General features: G+C 38.4%; 1 long non-coding RNA gene across 6 annotated transcripts in view; it reads left to right on the top strand.

The window, feature by feature from the left end:
• The first annotated feature begins 907 nt into the window (after positions 1-907).
• LOC105374007 (uncharacterized) overlaps positions 908-12,698 on the top strand; it is a 175,630-nt gene continuing 163,839 nt past the window's right edge. For 3 of the 6 annotated variants that reach the window (XR_924270.3, XR_001740465.2, XR_001740461.3), the window contains exon 1: positions 908-1,591. This is a non-coding gene — a long non-coding RNA (uncharacterized LOC105374007). Of the gene's footprint in view, positions 1,592-9,708; positions 9,805-12,698 lie in introns of those variants that run through there. The other 3 variants (XR_001740463.2, XR_001740464.1, XR_001740462.1) reach the window with 1 other exon arrangement.

Below are 12,698 nucleotides of genomic sequence, written 5' to 3'. Positions count from 1 at the left end.
TTGAACCTGGGTTTATTGAAATCCCAAGATCATATGGGCCATATTACCAGATCTCATTAGAGTTGACAATTGGCCTTGGGCTGCTGAGTAGAATAGTTATATTCACAATATAATAATTTCTAACTTTCATAGCATAGTAATTTATCTATGACTTCAATAAAGTTCATTAGCTCTTTATTTGAAATGGTGCTGATTCATTCATTAATGGGATTAAAAATTTTCTTTGTCATGGCAAACCGGTGGGTCTCAAGGGTCTTGACTAGAATACTTTACACACTAAATTGAATGAGGAAGATTAATCTAGATAACTTGTCAGAATCACCTAGACCACAGAATTTTGAAATTCATGCTTCCTACAATAATCTATGCTGATTAATAATCTTCATATTGGAGGTAAGAGGATTCAACTAATTTCAACCTCTTCTCCTTACTATATTTTTTTCTAGTTAAAGCAGAGAGCTGACTGAAAAGTAGTTAGTGGAATTGCACAAAATGAAATCTATTTTGGGAACCATGCCCTCTCTTCTTTACCACTGTTCCTTGCCTATGAGGCTGAGCATAATGAGTGGCAGCATGGAAGTCAGGCAGATAAAAATTTGTATAAACAAATTTTATAGATGGCACAGCAACTCAAAGGTGGAGAAAAATCCGGGAGTGGAGAGGATGTGTAACTTACAGAACACACCTTGTGCTATAAAGAAAGCTTATTTCTTGGCCAAAGAGTTTGGTCCCTCCCTATTTTTATTTACTATTGGCTATATACTATTAATTTCTCTATATTATAAAATAATTATTATCCTACCTGTTTATATATTGATGTTTATGAACATCTTCCCCAACTTTAATATTCAAACTACATTTTTGCTTAAGTGTATTGATTTACCTGTTTAAAACATCATTTGTTCTCTTACCTGAACATTATGCTGACTTTTACAGACACATCTTCGAACTATTAAGCTAAGTAATATCCAAACTATTTTTTATTGTTGTGGAAGCATGTGGTGGATGCTGTGGTATGCCTTCTGCGTTGCCCCTTCAGGTCTGAAGCGTGCATTTCCACACCTGCGAGAAGTATTGGCTGTAGACATTTCATGGCTGAGTACCACTTTGGAGATTGCTCTAGAATAAAGGGAGCTGCTTTGCTCAAGGTTATACCCTCTTACTGGAGTTAGCTCACATCAAAGAACTGGTCTATGCAGATGTACGAAGACCTGGCCTTTTTGTCTCAATTCTGGAAAACTTGGAAGAGCCATTCTAGCTCCTGGGCTCTTGAAGGACTGGCTAAGACCTGTTAGAATTGCACACTGACGTTCAACTTCCCCCTCTGTCCAATTCTTATTTCTCATTCTTTTATAAGTATTGTTCCATCTTAGAATCTGTTTCCTAGGGAACCCAATTTAAACACCAGTTAGAATGTCTGAGGAAGCAGAATCTAAAATGCAACTTTGAAGCTGGATCCCTTGCTGGCTGCAGGGAAATGAGAACCCTGCCACTGGTATTAGGTGGGGAAATGATAGCCCCTAGCATGCTATAGCAGTGCAGTTGTTAGAACTTTTACAAGTTCTGAGCTGGAATAGGACACGAGTGGAAGGTAATGCACTGGCAGGAGCAATATCTCAGGCATTTGAGCGGTTCTAGGGAAGTAGTAATTACCAGGCCAAGGGAATCAGATTGCTTTTCCTAGATACTAGCAATGCACTGGAGAAGAAAGACAAGGAAAGGCTGAGGGTGATTAATCCCCACTTTAAGGCAAAGTATGAAAGCCAGGGGGCTTTCTTGGCAGCATACAAAATGAATTTTATCTTCTATAAACAGAAGAAAAAGTCGAAGATCAATTCCAGGACTTAATTATGGGAACAGTGGAACTGCAGAGAAGGTTGTCATTTCAACCTCAGCAAGTCTACTATACCAAGATCAGGGCCTAGGTAGGAAGCAGAAGGACTCTTGAGATTTGAAATGGGGACATCTAGGTTAATTTCCTCAAAAATCTTGTACCTGCCTGTTTCTTTGAATCCTCTGGGCCCACATAAGTAGCCCACTCCCCAATAAATCCTGTTTGAAGATGACACACAGGCTTTGAAAGACAACACATGCTCTTTTCAGGAACTCTCCTTACCTGCACTTCTGGGCACCAGCTAAAAAAACTAGAGTTAATTTACAATATAACCCAGCCAGAGATGTGCTGGGCTATATTATTTCAAATATCAAATTAGAAGAGGTTTACAAAAGGTAATAAAATCTGGTTAAGGCCAGATTTGTAGAGCTATAAGTTGGTGTAATATTTTTGAAAGGTATTTTGTAAAATATATTAGCCTTAAACATACACCTATATTGATCCAGAAATTCTCCTTCTTAGAAACTATTCTGAAGAAATTATATATATAATATTACACACACATATATAATATACATAGACAAAAATGCCAATTGGAAGGGATTTTTATGACAGAATCCATTTGAAAACAACCAAATTTTCTATAATAGAAAAATGTCCAGGTAAATTATGGCACATAGTAGAATGTATTATGTAGGTATATAGTGTTAATATGAAGCACCTTAAGGATAATTATGACATGAAAATAGTCAAGATAAAGCTAAATATCATATGATGTCAAAACACAAAGACAGAGACTTTGACAAAATATTAAAAATGGTTTTCTCCCCCTGGTAAAGTAATAAATATATTATTTTCATTTTATCTTTTTAAATGTATATTTCAACACTTTCCAAGAGAGAATTTTTAAATTTTACAATGTGGCAAATTTTTATTTTAGGAAGTAGACCTTGTGGTCTAATCTTTTACTTCTGATGCTGAGCTACAGAGGCAGAGGTGAAGGGTGGATAAGTAGGGGATGGTTCCTTTTCCTGCTTGTCCCCAGAAACGCCTGGTCCTTTAAATGAATCGTTTGGTTACTTTGACTAGTAGGAAGCAGAGTCAGTGTCCATTATTAGAACTCTCACCCAGTCTCACAATTGTCTCAAACTTTGTAAAAAATGAGGTTCATTTGGGAGGCTGAGGCAGGCGGATCATCTGAGGTGAGGAGTTCGAGACCAACCTTGCCAACATGGTGAAACCCTCTCTCTGCTAAAAATACAAAAATTAGCTGTGTGTGGTGTCACATGCCTGTAGTTCCAGCTACTAGGGAGGCTGAGGCAGGAGAATAGCTTGAACCTGGGGGGCAGAGGTTGATGTGAGCCTCGATTGCACCACTGCACTCCATCCTGGATGACAGAGTGAGACTCCATCTCAGAAAAAGAAAAAAAAATTAGGTTCAGGGTGTGGGACTGGATTGTCTTCTCTGAGGTTGTGAAAATGGAAAATATCTTAAAATTATTAAAGCTGTTTGGGATGCAATCTGTTAGCATCTTAAAAAAATCCATTAGCCCCTATCCTGGAAATCTAACTCATAGGAATGAAAGCATTGGCATATAATGACACATATATAGTCAATAGTGCTGTAACACTTGACTTTTAAAATGTGAATTTGCTAGAGTGAAGCTGATATATTAGGGAACACATTGAACATAGTGTGGATTTTGCTTTTGCTTCTGCATTATTTTTTCTGTAAGAAATACTAGAGGATGGCAGGAAACTGCATCCGTCTGAACCAAGCTGCCTGGCAAAACACAAAACAGACACCACTAATATCTCCAGTTACCTCAGTTCACTGCATAATGAGCCGTACCTATCCACATCTAGTATTCCAATGTTCCATCTGATTTCAGATAACCATCCATCTACCACTTCACAATAACTCACAAATTGCAAACCTACTTCTGCCCAGTTCTTCATGCAAATTTCAGGTTTTCTTCAAGGTTAAGTGCCATATTTATTATAGTATTTATGTATTTCTTAATGTGTATTTAACACATGTATTACCATTTTAAACCATTTTTTAGGTTCCTATCTTTTTTATATGTTGCTGTTTTGGGAGACTTTTTGAATGTTGAGTCCGCAACCCATTTTTCTCCAGAAGCTCTGTGGTTTTTATTGCACAATTTTGCATTGCATAGTGATTTTCAGGATGCATATATTATCTTAGAGCAAAATTGAGTATATAAGATTATTTACTGCAGCTGAGTATATAAGACTATTTATTCTGTTTGTAATGGCCGAAAACAAGAAACAAAGTAAATGTCTTACATAGGTTATGATTGAATAAAATGGGTTTATTCGGGCCATGGAATAGTGCAGTCTTTAAAAAGAGTGCATTAATGCTATAAAAGCACCTTAGAAAGATTTTCATAATGTAGTGCAGCTATATATATATTTTAGTACCTACTATATGTCAGACACGATGTTATGCTCTTTGGTATGTAATTTACGTAAAATTATGTTTGGGCATACAAATGTAAATGAGTGCAATGGGAGTTTTAAAAATTTTTTAAACATTATTATTATTATTATTATTATTTTATTGTACTTTAAGTCCTAGGGTACATGTGCACAAGGTGCAGGTTTGATACATAGGTATACATGTGCCACATTGGTTTGCTGTACCCATCAACTCGTCATTTACATTAGGTATTTCTCCTAATGCTATATCTCCCCCAGCGCCCCACCCCCTGACAGGCCTCAGTGTGTGATGTTCCCTGCCCTGTGTCCAAGTGATCTCATTGTTCAATTCCCACCTATGAGTGAGAACATGTGGTGTTTGGTTTTCTGTCCTTGTGATAGTTTGCTGAGAATGATGGTTTACAGCTTCATCCATGTACCTGCAAAGGACATGAACTCATCATTTTTTATGGCTGCATAGTATTCCATGGTGTATATGTGCCACATTTTCTTTATCCAGTCTATCATTGATAGACATTTGGGTAGGTTCCAAGTCTTTGCTATTGTGAATAGTGCTGCAATAAACATATGTGTGTATGTGTCTTTATAGTTGCATGATTTATAATCCTTTGGGTATATACCCAGTAATGGGATCACTGGGTCAAATGGTATTTCTAGTTCTAGATCCTTGAGGGATCGCCACACTGTCTTCCACAATGGTTGAACTAATGCATTCCTACCAACAGTGTAAAAGAGTTCCTATTTCTCCACATCCTCTCCAGCATCTGTTGTTTCCTAATTTTTTAATGATTGCTATTCTAACTGGTGTGAGATTGTATCTCATTGTGGTTTTGATTTGCATTTCTCTGATGACCAGTGATGATGAGCATTTTTTCATGTGTCTGTTGGTTGCACAGATGTCTTCTTTAGAGAAGTGTCTGTTCATATCCTTTGCCCAATTTTTGATAGGGTTTTTTTTTCTTGTAAATTTGTTTGAGTTCTTTGTAGATTCTGGATATTAGCCCTTTGTCAGATGAGTGGATTGCAAAAATTTTCTCCCATTCTGTAGGTTGCCTGTTCACTCTGATGGTAGTTTCTTTTGTGGTGCAGAAGCTCTTTAGTTTAATTAGATCCCATTTTTCATTTTGGCTTTTGTTGCCATTGCTTTTGGTGTTTTAGTCACGAAGTCCTTGCCCATGCCTATGTCCTGAATGGTATTGCCTAGGTTTTCTTCTAGGGTTTTTATGGTTTTAGGTCTAACATTTAAGTCTTCAATCCATCTTGAATTAATTTTTGTATAAGGTGTAAGGAAGGGATCCAGTTTTAGCTTTCTACATAAGGCTAGCCAGTTTTCCCAGCACCATTTATTAAATAGGGAATCCTTTCCCCATTTCTTGTTTTTGTCAGGTTTGTCAAAGATCAGATGGTTGTAGATGTGTGGTTTTATTTCTGAGGCCTATGTTCTGTTCCATTGGTCTATATCTCTGTTTTGGTACCAGTACCATGCTGTTTTGGTTACTGTAGCCTTGAGAGTTTGAAGTCAGGTAGCATGATGCTTCCAGCTTTGTTCTTTTTGCTTAGGATTGTCTTGGCAGTGTGGGCTCTTTTTGGTTCTATATGAACTTTAAAGTAGGTTTTTTCCAGTTCTGTAAAGAAAGTCATTGGTAGCTTGATGGAGAAGCCATTGAATCTATAAATTACCTTGGGCAGTGTGGCCATTTTCACGATATTGATTCTTCCTTTCCATGAGCATGGAATGTTCTTCCATTTATTTGTGTCCTCTTTTATTTCGTTGAGGAATGGTTTGTAGTTCTCCTTGAAGAGGTCCTTCACATCACTTGTAAGTTGGATTCCTAGGTATTTTATTCTCTGTAGCAATTGTGAATGGGAGTTCACTCTTGATTTGGCTATTTGTCTGTTATTGGTGTATAGGAATGCTTGTGATTTTTGCACATTGATTTTGTATCCTGAGACTTTGCTGAAGTTGCTTATCAGCTTAAGGAGAGTTTGGGCTGAGACGATGGGGCTTTCTAAATATACAATCATGTCATCTGCAAACAGGAATAATTTGACTTCCTCTTTTCCTAATTGAATACCCTTTATTTCTTTCTCTTGCCTGATTGCCCTGGCCAGAACTTCCAACACTATGTTGAATAGCAGTGGTGAGAGAGGGCATCCTCATCTTGTGCCAGTTTTCAAAAGGAATGCTTCCAGTTTTTGCCCATTCAGTATGATATTGGCTGTGGGTTTGTCATAAATAGCTCTTATTATTTTGAGATACGTTCTGTCAATACCTAGTTTTTTGAGAGTTTTTAGCATGAAGGGCTGTTGAATTTTTTCGAACACCTTTTCTGCATCTATTGAGATAATCATGTGGTTTTTGTCATTGGTTCTGTTTATGTGATGAATTATGTTTGTTGATTTGTGTATGTTGAACCAGTCTTGCATCCCAGGGATGAAGCCGACTTGATCATGCTGGATAAGCTTTTTGATGGGCTGCTGGATTCAGTTTGCCAGTATTTTATTGAGGATTTTCATATTGAGTTCATCAGGGATAATGGTCTAAAATTCTCTTGTTTCATTGTGTCTCTGCCAGGTTTTGGTATCAGGATGATGACCTCATAAAATGAGTTAGGGAGGATTCCTTCTTTTTGTATTGATTGGAACAGTTTTAGAAGGAATGGTACCAGCTCCACTTTGTATCTCTGGTAGAATTCGGCTGTGAATCCATCTGGTCCTGGACTTTTTTTGGTTGGTAGGCTATTAATTATTGCCTCAATTTCAGAGCCTGTTTTTGGTGTATTCAGGGATTCAACTTCTTCCTGGTTTAGTCTTGGGAGAGTGTATGTGTCCAGGAATTTATCCATTTCTTCTAGATTTTCTAGTTTATTTGCATAGAGGTGTTTATAGTATTCTCTGATGGTAGTTTGTATTTCTGTGGGATCAGTGGTGATATCTCCTTTATCACTTTTTATGGCATCTATTTTGATTCTTCTCTGTTTTCTTCTTTATTGGTCTTGCTAGCAGTCTACCAATTTTGTTAATCCTTTAAAAAAAAGCAGCTCCTGGATTCATTGATTTTTTGCAGGGCTTTTGTGTCTCTATCTCTTTCAGTTCTGCTCTGATCTTAGTTATTTCTTGCCTTCTGCTACCTTTCGAATTTCTTTGCTCTTGCTTGCCTAGTTCTTTTAAGTGTGATGTTAGGGTGTCAATTGCAGATCTTTCCTGCTTTTCCTTGTGGGCATTTAGTGTTCCCTCTACACACTGCTTTAAATGTGTCCCAGAGATTCTTGTATGTTGTGTCTGTTCTCACTGGTTTCAAAGAACACTTTTATTTCTGCCTTCATTTCATTATGTACCCAGTAGTCATTCAGGAAGAAGTTGTTGAGTTTCCATGTAGTTGTGCAGTTTTGAGTGAGTTTCTCAATCCTGAGTTCTAATGTGATTGCACTGTGTTCTGAGAGACAGTTTGTTGTGATTTCTGTTCTTTTACATTTGCTAAGGAGTGCTTTACTTCCAATTATGTGGCCAATTTTAGAATAAGTGCGATGTGGTGCTGAGAAGAATGTATATTCTATTGATTCCTGGTAGAGAGTTCTGTAGATGTCTATCAGGTCTGCTTGGTGCAGAGCTGAGTTCAAGTCCTGTATATCCTTGTTAACCGTCTGTCTCGTTGATCTGTCTAATATTGACAGTAGGGTGTTAAAGTCTCCCATTATTATTGTGTGGGAGTCTAAGTCTCCTTGTAGGTCTATAAGGACTTACTTTATGAATCTGGGTCCTCCTGTATTGGGTGCATATATATTTAGGGTTGTTAGCTCTTCTTGTTGAATTGATCCCTTTACCATTATGTAATGGCCTTCTTTGTCTCTTTCAATCTTTGTTGGTTTAAAGTCTGCTTTATCAGAGACTAGGATTGCAATCCCTGCTTTTTTTGCTTTCCATTTGCTTGGTAGATCTTCCTCCATCCCTTTATTTTGAGTCTATGTGAATCTTTGCATGTGAGATGGGTCTTCTGAATACTACACACTGATGGGTCTTGACTCTTTATCCAATTTGCTAGTCTGTGTCCTTTAATTGGGGCATTTAGCCCATTTGCATTTAAGTTTAATATTGTTGTGTGTGCATTTGATCCTGTCATTATGATGTTAGCTGGTTATTTTGCCCATTAGTTGATGCAGTTTCTTCATAGCGTCGATGGTCTTTACAATTTGGCATGTTTTTGCAGTGGCTGGTATTGGTTGTTTCTTTCCATGTTTAGTGCTTCCTTCAGGAGCTCTTGTAAGGCAGGCCTGGTGGTGACAAAATCTCTCAGCATTTGCTTGTCTGTAAAGGATTTTATTTCTCCTTCACTTATGAAGCTTAGTTTGGCTGGATATGAAATTCTGGGTTGAAAATTATTTTCTTTAAGAATGTTGAATATTGGCCCTCATTCTCTTCTGGCTTGCAGGGTTTCTGCTGAGAGATCTGCTGTTAGTCTGATGGACTTCCCTTTGTGGGTAACCCGACCTTTCTCTCTGGCTGCCCTTAACATTTTTTCCTTCATTTCAACCTTGGTGAATGTGACAATTATGTGTCTTCGGGTTGCTCTTCTCGAGGAGTATCTTTGTGGTGTTCTCTGTATTTCCTGAATTTGAATGTTGGCCTGCCTTGCTAGGTTGGGGAAGTTCTCCTGGATAATATCCTGAAGAGTGTTTTCCAACTTGGTTCCATTCTCCCCATCACTTTCAGGTACACCAATCAGACATAGATTTGGCCTTTTCACATAGTCCCATATTTCTTGGAGGCTTTGTTCATTTCTTTTTACTCTTTTTTGTCTAACCTTGTCTTCTCCCTTTATTTCATTCATTTGATCTTCAATCACTGATACCCTTTCTTCCACTTAATTCAATCGTCTATTGAAGCTTGTGCATGCATCATGAAGTTCTTGTGCCATGATTTTCAGCTCCATCAAGTCATTTAAGGTCTACTCTACACTGTTTATTCTAGTTAGCCATTCATTTAACCTTTTTTCAAGGTTTTTAGCTTCCTTGCAGTGGGTTTGAACATGCTCTTTTAGCTTGGATAAGTTTTTTATTACCGATCTTCTGAAGCCTACTTCCATCAACTTGTTAAAGTCATTTTCCATCCAGCTTTGTTCTGTTGCTGGCGAGGAGCTGCCATCCTCTGGAGGAGAAGAGGCGCTTTGATTTTCAGAATTTTCAGCTTTTCTGCTCTGGTTTCTCCCCATCTTTGTGGTTTTATCTAACTTTGGTCTTTGATGTTGGTGACCTACAGATGGGGTTTTGGTGTGGATGTCCTTTTTGTTGATGTTGATGCTATTCCTTTCTGTTTGTTAGTTTTCCTCCTAACAGTCAGGTCCTTCAGCTGCAGGTCTGTTGGAGTTTGCTGGAGGTCCACTCCAGACCCTGTTTGCCTGGGTATCACCAGTGGAGGCTGTGGAACAGCAAATATTGCAGAACAGAAAATACTGCTGCCTGATCCTTCCTCTGGAAACTTCGTCCTAGAGTGGCACCCACCTACATGAGGTATCTGTTGGCCCCTACTTGGAGGTGTCTCCCAGTTTGGCTACACAGGGGTCAGGGACCCACTTGAGGAGGCAGTCTGTCTGTTCTCAGAGCTCAAACACCATGTTGGGAGAACCACTGCTCTCTTCAGAGCTGTCAGACAGGGACGCTTAAGTCTGCAGAAGTTGTCTGCCACCTTTTGTTCAGCTAAGCCCTGACCACAGAGGTGGAGTCTAGAGGCAGTAGGCCTTGCTGAGCTGCGGTGGGCTCCACCCAGTTCAAGATTCCTGGCTGCTTTGTTTACCTACTCAAGCCTCAGCAATGGAGGACGCCCCTCGCCCAGCCAGGCTGCCACCTTGCAGTTTGATTTCAGACTGCTGCACCAGCAGTGAGCAAGGCTCCATGGGCATGGGACCTGTTGAGCCAGGCATGGGAGAATCTCCTTGTCTGCCTGTTGCTAAGACCTTGGGAAAAGTGCAGTATTTGGGTGGGAGTGTCCCGTTTTTCCAGGTACAGTCTGTCACAGCTTCCCTTGGCTAGAAAGGGAAATCCCCTGACCCCTTGTGTTTCCTGGGTGAGGCAACGCCCCACATACTATGGGAATTTTTAAGAACAAACAGGTAAACAAACGTAAACATAGAAAATTGGTGCTTCCCAATTTGTTGCAGGATCCAGATTCATAAATAATTCACTATAATACAAGTCAAACAGTGACCCCAAAAGGCTGATGGGGTTTTCCAAAAGACAAATGTTACATGTTAGTAATATAGCTGAGGGAGAAACACCATCCTGACTTAAACTCTAAGCATTTTAGACATGATGAGTCAGGTAAAATATATATGTATCTATATGTACTAATGGAGTTTTTAAGATGCTGACAGATTGCATCCCAAACATATATATATAATATATATATATGTTTTTATATGTGCTATTTTATGTTTACCTTTTAACTTTCCTGAACTATGGGCTCTTATGAGCAGATTTATTTGGTATAAAGGAACAGTTATCAAATGGAGTCTCTTGTTTAGGTGAAGGATCCATGGCTAGCGTGTTCTAGCATGTCAGCTTATGCTTATGAATTCTATGCACTCCCTCTGCAAGAAGAAAGCATAGCCAATGGGTATTATTTATACTACATTCACTATAACCACTCAGAACTTTTTTTTTTTTTGAGACAGAGTCTCTCTCTTTGCCCAGGCTGGAGTGCAGTGGCGTGATCTTGGCTCACTGCAACCTCTGCCTCCTGGGTTCAAGAGGTTCTCCTGCCTCAGCCTCCCGAGTAGCTGGGGTTACAGGCGTGCACCACCACGCCCAGCTAAGTTTTGTAGTTTTAGTAGAGATGGGGTTTCACCATGTTGCTCAGGCTGGTCTCGAATTCCTGACCTCAGGTGATCCACCCACCTTGGCCTCCCAAATTGCTGAGATTATAGGCAGGAGCCATCATGCCTGGTCCAACCCCTCAGAAATTTGATGACTTTTTTTCCCCTTGAAATATCACAATGATTTCAACAGTGAACATTCATTACATGCAGCCAGGAATACAAATCTTTGTTCTCTTCAAACACCAAAAAGAGGCAGCTACTTGTATTTACTCTATGCTCATGATAGTTCTTAAAAATACACACATCACACACACCTTTGAAAAACATATTTTAAGGTATAGGAAAGTAGAAAAGAAGGTATAAAAATTATAATTATAAAGAACTTGCTGTGTACATGTGGCTTCTGATATTTAAGGAGCAAGTTACAGGATGTCAAATCTGATTTCTTTTTTTTTTCTTTTAGAATTAATGAGAAAGGACAGGAATATGCCTTTAAATAGAAGAGCAAGATTCTGCAATATGTTTTTTATAAGCCATCAGCAACTTGCTAATAGATTTCTTTTCTCTTTGAAACTGTCAGATTGAAGGCTGAGCAACCCAGTCTCATTTTCTACTGAAGGGATGGTAACTTGTGGCTTCTCCACTTTGGCTTATTAGGTTTATGATCCTGTCATCTCTATGGACAGCTTCCTTTTAAAAAAAATCACACACTTGTAACAGATAGAATGCAGGTGTGTGTGTGTGTGTGTGTATATATATATATATATATATATATATATATATATATATATGTAAACAGTCAATTTCTTTGAATGGCTCTCAAGTTAGATTTGTCTTTGGGTTGTATATAATTTATTTTTGCTTAATTTAACTTGCCAAGAATTATTGAGTGATTCAAAAGACTTTGCTATTCAAAACATTTTCAAAATTACCCTTCAACTGAGGAAGAACTTGTCATAAAAACATAACAAGGCAAACATAAAATTGTACTTATGTAGTAACAAACTGCTGAAAAGGAAGAAGAGTCTCTGAGCTAGAAAGTTAAGATTTTTATCTCTATTGCTATTATTTTCACCGACTTACAATCAATCTCTGTGACACTGTTATTTATATCTTTTTCTAATTCTCACCTCATATAATAATTGTTGAAGCAGAAACAGTTTCTCGAGTTTGGAATTAAAAAGAATTGCCATTTCCTGAGTGCACATTGCTACCAATGTTGCTGTAAGAAATAAATAACTTTTGAATCAAAACATAGGAATCTGTAGCAGTTGCCACAAACCAAAGAATCCTCAAAATTTAATATTTTCTTGTTTTTGTTCCAACTTCTTATTCCGGGATAGAGGAATGCTGGGATATCCTATTTTCTGCTTATGATTTCTGTGGTCCTTTTTGTTTTTGTTTTGTGTTTTCTCAATACAGAAAATGTCTGATTAAGTACTTTGTTGACTCATTCTTGTTTAAAGGGAGGTGGCAGCATCTTCCCACTAAGCTCTGTTCACTAGGCAGCAGCCTCCGTTTCAGACCGAGTCAGGTATCTACAGTCCTGGTGGGAAAGCTAGAAGAGGGAGGGACATGATACCTGGGGTT

Source organism: Homo sapiens, chromosome 3 (genome assembly GCF_000001405.40).
Source record: "Homo sapiens chromosome 3, GRCh38.p14 Primary Assembly".
In the NCBI taxonomy this organism is placed as follows: domain Eukaryota; kingdom Metazoa; phylum Chordata; class Mammalia; order Primates; family Hominidae; genus Homo; species Homo sapiens.
Note: the sequence above shows the minus strand (reverse complement) of the source record. Positions and strands in the feature narration are given on the sequence as shown.